The sequence below is a fragment of the Homo sapiens genome, chromosome 2 (genome assembly GCF_000001405.40).
Source record: "Homo sapiens chromosome 2, GRCh38.p14 Primary Assembly".
Lineage (NCBI taxonomy): Eukaryota > Metazoa > Chordata > Mammalia > Primates > Hominidae > Homo > Homo sapiens.
The window spans coordinates 15,709,232-15,718,961 of NC_000002.12; the positions used below are offsets into that span (position 1 = coordinate 15,709,232).

General features: G+C 48.2%; 1 long non-coding RNA gene across 1 annotated transcript in view; it reads left to right on the plus strand.

Moving 5' to 3' along the window:
• LINC01804 (long intergenic non-protein coding RNA 1804) overlaps positions 1-9,730 on the plus strand; it is a 28,180-nt gene extending 18,450 nt beyond the window's left edge. The window contains exons 5-6 of the long non-coding RNA NR_110201.1: positions 6,182-6,298; positions 8,511-9,730. This is a non-coding gene — a long non-coding RNA (long intergenic non-protein coding RNA 1804). The remainder of the gene's footprint in view (positions 1-6,181; positions 6,299-8,510) is intronic.

Here is a 9,730-nt window from a genome sequence, read left to right on the forward strand (position 1 = left end):
CAGGGCCAAAGCAGGCCTTTTATCATGAGGGGCCCTGCAAGAACCATTTGGAGCGCCCACTTCCTATCCAGGGAGGAAGTGGCGAGGGCTTGACCTCGGACGTACTCTCATTTCCAATCATTTTCCAGCCTGGAATGCGGTGATTCAGTTTCCATTTATAAAGTGAAATTAGCGCCTGTTGAATGCTCTGCATGAGGGAGGGGGTAGGAAGGAGGAAACGAGAACCCCTCCCAAACAATTCTCCCCTGTTTAGCTTGGAGCTGGCCCTGCATGGAAGGATTTCCTCATGCTCAAGGTGTTAGCATCCTCTGTCAGGAAGGCTCTGCTTCATTTTCTCCTGCAGGTTAAATTTTTTTTAAAAAAACATGCTGGAGCTGCCACGTGACTCAGCAGAGATTTGGCTATAATTGAATCTCATGTTTCTACTGCACTTTATGCTTTTCAAAGAACTGTCATACATATTATCTCAGTAGAGTCTCCAAACACCTCTGGGAGGGAGTGGGCAAGGCATCATTGTCCTCATTTAACTTTCTTTGAAGAAAAGCATGTTAATTCTGAGAGCTTCTGTGAAATGGTGCTTTTTTGTGGTCAGGGAGACAACGGCAGGTTCAAGAGACACAGCCTAAATGAGGAATCAGGAGACGGGGGCTTTGGTCCTCATTGGGCCTCCGTCCTCTGTGTGACTCTCTGGGCTTTGGTTGACTCACCTGTGGCCCCAGGTAGTGAGAGAGTCACTGGGAACATGCGCAGCACGTGTGTCAGGAGATAGGATGAACGGCTTATGGATAATTGGTTCTAGAGCAGCAGCTCCCTGGAGCCCTGGAGGAGTCCGTAGAGAGCTGAGGACCCACGCTTCCCCAAGGCTCAGTGACCGAGGGACTGAGAGCTAAATGTACCCCCAGATAAAGTCAGGGTCTTTGAGGGAAGGCCAAGAGGAAGCAGAGCTCTGAAATGGGCCGGGAGAAGTCCTTGCCCTGCCCTCAAGGCTGTGTCCCCTGAAGGGTGACACAGTGACATGTGGAAGGGCTCTGGGGAGCAGGTGAGGTGACCAGGTGCTGAGCAAGTGGCTCCCACAGTCAGAGAACAAAGAGACCACCAAGGAGGGCCATCAGCAAGCCCATCTGAGGGGATGGTCAATGAAAGAGAGAGAGGGTTTGGAAAGGGAGGTCTCCAGGTCCCACCAAGTCCCATGGTGTGAAGTAACGTTCCTGGGGCTGAGCAGCTGGCAGGTGGTGGATTCGGGATTCAGAGAGTTTTTGCCCATCCTCAAGGCCTCCTGTCTGGGCTCTTTCTTCAAATCCTCCAGGGTAAGAATGGCTGATGAGTGTTCTCACACACGTATTCATTCCTGGAGAAGAGGAGACTGGAGTGTCACTGTGGGTCTTCTCTTAGCCTCTTACATTGCACCACTAATCCCATCTTCAGAAGGGCCATCCCTGCAGGAGCTGGGGATGTAGGCACCAGGTGTGTTAGTCAGGGTCTTCCAGATAAATGGAAACAATAGGTACATAGGCATCTATTTAGATGAGAACCTGTACATATTTTCATCCAATTCCTAAAGGATTCTGGTTAACAGTCTGTTCCAGGCACTTCTTTTTTTTTTTTTTTTTTTTTTTTTGAGACGGAGTCTCGCTCTGTCGCCCAGGCTGGAGTGCAGTGGCGGGATCTCGGCTCACTGCAAGCTCCGCCTCCCGGGTTCACGCCATTCTCCTGCCTCAGCCTCCCAAGTAGCTGGGACTACAGGCGCCCGCCACTACGCCCGGCTAATTTTTTGTATTTTTAGTAGAGACGGGGTTTCACCGTTTTAGCCGGGATGGTCTCGATCTCCTGACCTCGTGATCCGCCCGCCTCGGCCTCCCAAAGTGCTGGGATTACAGGCGTGAGCCACCGCGCCCGGCCTCCAGGCACTTCTAAACCACCTTCTTTGGTCTCACTCCCATCTATTCCATTCTAGGTTCTTGAGTTTGAACTGATGGTTAGTTTGTTCCTCATGCAAGACCAATCCTGCTGAATTCAGAAAGAATTATTAACCAGTCACCACACACTATCAAATTTACTTCCTAAATTTCTAGAAAATACCTTCAACAAGTATTTCCTGAGGATGAGGGGATAGAGAGAAATCGGACACCAGACCATTCTGAAATGACATCAGTCCAGTTGGCAGGCAGTGTGTAAGTGACCATGGCGGAGGCTGATGGGTACTGGGGGACAAGGCTATGCCTCTGCAGGGCAGGGGTCAGAGAGGTGCCGTCAAGGACATGGTCTTGAGCTGTCTTGAAGCATACTCATACTCACAAGACCTCAGGTGGGTGACAGGAGAGAACAGGCATTCCAGTCAGATGTGTCAGCAAATGCAAAACCTCAGAGGTAATGAACAGCATGGAAAATTCTAGAAATTCTCAGTAGCTCAATGTACAGTATGGCATGGAAGGAAATGATGATCATCCCATGTTGATCTGTGTCATTTCAAACTCATTTAATGAGTTTTCTTCTATAGGCATATTGGTGAGTAGTCACCATGATGATGTATCATTTCAAACTGATTTAATGAGTTTTCTCCTATAGACATATGGGTGAGTAGAGTCCCTGCCTTCCAAAGCACTTGGAGGGTGCACAGGAGGAGAAGCATTAAGGCTGTGAGCCTCTGGGAGGCTAGTAGTTGTCTGAGTGGTAGGTGACACCTTTCAGTGGGGAGGAAGGGACTGGTGTGCAGGATGTTAAGAATGCATGGTTGGCCGGGCGCGGTGGCTCACGCCTGTAATCCCAGCACTTTGGGAGGCCGAGGCGGGCGGATCACAAGGTCAGGAGATCGAGACCGTCCTGGCTAACACGGTGAAACCCCGTCTCTACTAAAAATACAAAAAATTAGCAGGCGCCTGTAGTCCCAGATACTCGGGAGGCTGAGGCAGGAGAATGGCCTGAACCCAGGAGGCGGAGCTTGCAGTGAGCCAAGATCGTGCCACTGTACTCCAGCCTGGGCGACAGAGCGAGACTCCATCTCAAAAAAAAAAAAAAAAAAAAAAAAGAATGCACAGTTGGCTGCTGGCAGGTGCCTTAGCACCTGATTAGGTGTGGCGCATGAGGGAAAAGGAGGTGTTTAGAACACCTTGTAGGTTTTTGGCCTGGGTCATTAGATGATAGTTGGAACCATCCCTCAAAGACAGGAAACACAGGGGGAGCCACAGGTTTGGGCTGGAGAAGGGACACAGTTCTTGAATATCCATGGTCAGTGTTCAGCTTTGTCACACCTCCCACATTGCTTCTGAAACCAGAGTTCATCCTAATTGAATTCACTGGACTTTCTCCATTATATGTATGCTGTCATACCAATGTATGACACACACGCATATGACAGGACAATTTCATATCAAGAGTGTCCACCATACATGCGCAATTTACCTACCCACGGGTCAGCTCTACAGACATTTCACAGAATGACATCCTGTATCAGTATAAGGGACTGTCAGCTCATCTTTATCACAAAGTCACCATTGTCTCAGCATCTAATGTTCACACCCTGCACAGCCATCTGAGTGGAATTAGAGGGCAACCACAGAGTGAATTAGGTAAGACTTAAATATGTGGCCAGATTCTAAGGCTGATCAAATTTGGGGATGAGCCTTGAAGAGTGAGTTGGATTAATTAGGAAGAAAGGTTGAAAGATATGAAGATGAATTACCAGAAAGACTTTGAAATGCCTTCCTTCTCCCCTGCCCACTGTGCAGGAGCTAGGAGGTAGAGCTTAGGGGAACTGTGGCCATCAAGACTGACAGTTTGCTAGTATGTGCCATGACATTTCCAGCAGAATGAGGAAAGGATGTCAGCATTTCTGCCTCTCCCGTGCCCTTGCCTTAGGATTCACTTAAAATTGCAAGAACTGATCATATTTACCAATTGCTTTTGTCTCTAAACTGTAAACAGAATAGAAAACTTATCAGTTCATTAGAGAAGGCCAGAAGCGTTTTCTGAATTCATGGAAAGTTTGAAAGACAAATGTACTCCACGTTCTTCCTAAGAAACTAGAACATATTTGGTTTATATGTGATCATTTCTGCCTCGTGCAGAAAGATCCTGCAATCATATAGCTCCAAGCTGTTTGTGAGATTCATCCATGTGCATGTGTGGACTTCAGTATTTTCATGTTTAAAGTGTTATATTTTACAATTTATTCATCTATATTCATATTGTTTTATATTGAACCCTCACCACCCCTAGTTTCTCCTCTGAAGGCCAGATTGCTTCAGATCTCTTACACGTATCTTGAGGTATCCATTTGTGAATTTTTTCTTTGGCTATATATAACTAAAAATGGGACTTCTGGCTCACAGAGTATACCTGTCTTCAACCATTGCCAAATTTATTCTCTAAAATAGTTGCATGCATTTGCAGCAATATAAATGAGTCTCCTTTCTTCGTATTTTCACTAACACTTGATGTTGTCAGACTTTTTAATTCTTGCTTGATGGATGAATGTGAAATGGGCACTCTCCTGTTTTTACTTAATAAACATCGTTTGATTGAGTTTCTTTTCTGTGCACCTGCCCTGTGCACACTGTACACAGACCACATCGAAGGGGTCCTACACTGATGTGCTGAAATGAATGTTAATTACCAGCCTTTGCTGAACATTTGCTTATGCTGGACTCTCTCCTATGTCCTTTTCACAGATTATCTCACTTAATGCAACAACTTTAAAAGGGGCGAAACTATTATCATCTCCATTTTACAGATTGTTTTGGTCTTTATGTATTCATACATTCAGCAAATATTAAGTGACCATTCTGAGCCAGCCACAATTGGGTTAGAACCTCAAGCTTCCTAAGAGGGGCAGCTTGCAAGGGCGATTTGATGTTTTTGCCTGCCCGGATCCATCTCCCCTTCCTAATAACAACCCAGTTTCCCACTGGGGAGTTCCATTTCCCTAAATGCATGGTCTTGGTGGAAATCCAGATAAAAACCTTCCACTTTGGACACTTGTGAGCTGGCTCTTCCCTGTCCCACCCCAGTACTGTGGGGAACATGGAATTAGGTGCTGTCTCCCAGGACTTTGAGTACGGCCCCTGAGCGAGTGGGTGAGGGTGAGTGGGAAGGGCTGCAGATTCTGGTGGGCACTGCTGGGGCGGGCAACCCAGACCAGGCTGCCTCTGCTGAGGGAGCCATTGTGTGTCCTGCCGCCTATGTCCTGAGACTTGGAGCTCCCATGGCTCATTCCCTAGTCACTCTCCTTTATGTGAGGCTCCTGACGTCCTTCTAATAAAGTCCCTATGGTTTAAGTTACCCAGAGTTGGTTTCTGTGGTCCATGACAATAACCCTAACTGATATAGAAAGTTTGGATGTGGTTCTGGACCACGTGGGATCAGCAGGAATGAGGACCCAAAATGATTTTGGTGACCCTTGTTCCTGGACTTTCTTTCCTCTTGGATCTTTAAACCATCCTGGCAGGAAGTTCCTCTCTTGCCACATTTTTCTATGGATTAGTGTCTGGGCAGGTCCAACAATTTATTAGCTTTTCATCCTCCATACATGGAACCACAGAGCTGCTTCCCTAGTCTATTAGTCTGTTCTCACACTGCTAATAAAGACATACCTGAGACTGAGTAATTTATAAAGGAAAAAGGTTTAAATGACTCATAGTTCCACATGGCTGAGGAGGCCTTGTCATTATGGTGGAAGGTAAATTAGAAGCAAAGTCATGTCTTATATGGTGGCAGGCAAGAGAGCTTGTGCAGAGGAACTTCCATTCACCACCAGGAAAACAGTATGGGGAAAACCGCCCCCATGATTCAGTTATCTCCACCTGGCCCGCCTTTGACATGTGGGGATTATTACAATTCAAGGTGAGATTTTGGTGGGGACACAGCCAAACCATTATCTCCTGGGTACCTGGGCCTGTGAGGGAAATCAGTCATCATAGAGAAGGAATCAAGCCCTGGTCATCATGGCTGCAGGCTTTGTTCTGACTCAAGGTTCGCTTTTTTTTCTTTTCTTTTTTTCTTTTTTATTGTTATTTTTTGGAGATAGGGTCTTGCTCTTTCACCCAGGCTGGAGTACAGTAGTGTGACCTTGGCTCACTGCAGCTTCAACCCCTGGGCTCAAGCTATCCTCCCACATTAGCCTCCTGAGTAGCTGATACTACAGGTGCACACCACCACAACCAGCTAATTTTTGTATTTTTTGTAGAAATGAGATCTCGCTTTGCTGCCCAGGCTGGTCTTGAGCTCTTGGCTCAGAAGATCCTCCCTCCTCAATCTCCTGAAGTGCTGGGATTGCAGGCATCAGCCACCACGCCCGGCCAAGGTCAGCTTTTCTGGGTATAAACTTCCAGTGGGAGAAAGTTTCACCCTTCCATGGACTATTGCCTATGACCTATTAAACCCAGGGACCTTTTTCAAGTGCAAATAATTTTTTTCTGGAATTCCCACGGGTGAAATAGTTTTTCCTGAGGGACTAAGATCACCCCGTAGGCCTGTATCCCGGAGGTAGTGCCTTCTTTCTAGTCTGTGTTTACTGCGCAGCCTTGTCCTCTGCCCATAACTGTCTCTCTTTACCAGCCTGATTGCGAACTCCCTGAGGGCAGGAGACAAGTTGCTTTCGTCTCTCTCCCCAGCGCCAAGCTCAGGGCCTGGCACAGAGCTTTTCAGTCAAATAAGTGAGTGCAGGTCTCTATTTGCATGACACGAAGGATAAGATTGTACCCAGAGGTGCTTTGTCCCCAGAGGGGCTTTGTCCCCATAGGAGATGGTCATTGGCAAATCTGGGCCCCTAGAATGTTTGGTGGATAGATGTTTGCTGAGTACCCCTAGATGCCAGCATTGAACTGGGTATTGGTGATACTGAATTGAAACTCATAGTCTTTCACCTTGAGGAGCTACGGACCAAAGGGAGAGACAAATGGATACACAAACAATTTTGGTGGCGTAAGAGCTGCCATGGAGCTGTCAGGAATAGATTTTCAGAGATCAACACTTTGTTTTACTGGTGAGGAAAATGAGGCTTAGAGGGGGCCAGGGCTTTGACTATGCAGTGAATAGCAAGCCACAGCTCAAGTCCAGACATCTTTCCTCACAAGGCAGCAGGCTGTCCACCACTCTGTCCTCCCTGGAGCCATTCATGAGTTGATGAAGTTGTTAATTCAAATTCTTACTGAGTGCTAACATTAGCCCCACACTGTGCCCTGTGCTGGGGATGTGGGGGAGCAGGTCCACGTGGACACTGGCCTTGTCTGCAGGAGTTTACAGCCTGGTGGGCAGACAGACATGCAAGGGAATTTTTTTTTTTTTTTTTTTTTGAGACAGGGTTTCCCTCTGTTGCCAAGGCTGGAGTGCAGTGATGCGGTCATGGTTCACTGCAGCCTTGATCTTCTGGGCTCCAGCGATCCTCCCACCTCAGCCTCCTAGTAGTTGGGTCCACAGGTGCATTCCACCACGCCTGCTAGTTTTTAAATGTTTTTAGAAACAAGGTCTTGCTTTGTTGCCAGGGCTGGTCTTGCACTCCTAGGCTCAAGCGATCTGCCTGCCTTGGCCTCCCAAAGTGTTGGGATTACAGGCGTGAGCCACCATGCATGGCCTAGGGAATTTCTTGAATGGTGAATGCTGTTAGGATATCACGATGTTGGGGGAGGGGGACTGCTAACAAAGCCAGAGGGCCTCTACATTCATTCACTCATTCATTTAATTACTTCAACAAATATTTAGTGAGTCAACCACATGCCAGACGTTTTCCACCGTCCTTCCCAGCATATCAATCTCCCGCTTTTGCACACATCTTGACTGAAAGCTAGAGAAATAAAAATTTCTAGTGGCAGAGGAAATTAGCATGAACAAGAGGAATCGATTGTGACATGGAGAAATTACCAGGACTCTGTAACGGGACTCTAATTGCTTGTCTTCAAGCCTTCTGTCGCCAGCTGAGCATCCCATCCGGGTTCCACATGATCACCCTCTTGCATTCCTGTGGTACAGGGAACACAGGGTGGCTGCTGACAAATTTAGTGTGTTTGGGAACAACATTGAGACAACAGGGTTACAAGGGAAGTGAGCTTGGTGCCATCTGCCTGAACCCCCACCCCCGGCTGGGCATAGGGTAGGAAGACCACCCCTTCTGTTCCCCTGAGCAACTGCTTCCTGACCAGGGACCCTGGGGACCAAAGCTCTCTGCAAAGGGCCCCTGGGAATCTTTGATGAGAGCAATGCCCAGTGCAACCATAGATCTACCCAGCTCACGACCACCCGAGGCCATGCCCTGCTGAGACAGGTGCCCCCGCAGAGGAAGCTTAGATCTGAGGGTGATCACTGTAACCCTGGAGTCAGGGCAGGTTTCCTGGAGGAAAAGGGAAATTTGCAAGATGGGCAAATGACAGGTACAAAGAGGGGCAAGTGTCTCCCATGGGGAGGAGACCGTGTGCTGAAGCCATGGGGGTGTTCATTAAGGGAGGGGCCATCGTGGGAGCTGAGGCTGCTGGAGAGTTGTGTCCAGAGCTCCTGACCTCAGATCCTTTGCCTCCACACAGCTTCTGTTCCATGTGCCGTCCTGGATCCCGCCTCCCACAACCCAGACCTGCTGCTGTCTTCCTTTTCTCTCTCTCTGCTGCTTTCTTCCCATTCTCCCAGTCTCTGCCATAAGCTCCAGATTTATTGAAGAGTAAAACATCCTTCCCTGCCCTCCAGGTACCCACAGCTTGGCAAGGGAGACAAACAAGAGAATGGCCCAGGGCAACGCGTGATAAACTATAAAATGGGTGGGAAAATCCAGAGAAAGCAACTTGCTCTACCCTGGAGGTTCAGACTGGCTTCACAGAGAACAGGACATCTGGGCAGGAATTTGTTAGAATGAGGAGAGATGTTTCCAAGCAGAGAGAACAAACTGCCTGGGCCAGGACAGAACCGGGAGACATTTAGAGAATGCAGGCAGTTGCTCAGTGGTTTCTTTTGAAAGGGTGAGGCCATGGCTATTCAACCAGTGATGGGAGCAACACATGGAGATAGAGGAGAGAGACAAGAAAAGGAAATCAAAGAAGAAGAAGCCAGAAAGGCATTGATCATGCACCCTGCTGGGGCCAGCCTCGGGGTTGGTATTCCCACCTGAGTTCAGCAGGTGGAGAAACCAGGGTCTCCCCCAAGCTGGGAGCAGAGCTGTGCTCTCAGGGATCTTTCCAGCCATGCTCCTTGGCTTATAGCTGGTGGGTTTGGGTTTCTTCTGAAATTGCAGAAGCTCTCTGGAGGTTTCTAGGCAGGGCCCTTTGGCCTCCTCTGTTTACCTGGTCTCAGGCCCTGACCTGCACCGCCAACCCTAGGACTCCGGGCTCTCCCTTTCACCCCACCTGCTGGCCTCCCTTCATCCTGCCAGATTCACTGCCACTGGGTGCCCACCCTGTCTGGACAAAGCCAAGGCCCCTCCTGCTAGGCCCATCCTGTGGCCACCTGGGGCTGCGAGAGATAGTTGCCCTTTTCCGCTTGACACTGTGTGTTTGGTCCCCTGCCCCGGGCAGCCCCATGCTCCTCCCTGGCCCTGCCGGCTTCCAGAGCATTTATCAGGGCCTGTGTATGTTTTTCTTGTGTGGGATTTGAAATGATTTCTTTAAACAAGGCCTAAACTGGGATTGATTTCCTCTCTTTATTTAGAGTGGTTTGTTTTGTAATATGGTTCTTCTAACAGTCTAAATTGTGGGAACTTGGGAGAAAAAAAAGAGAATTTTCTGACTTCATATAAATATAAATTACTTTATCTCTC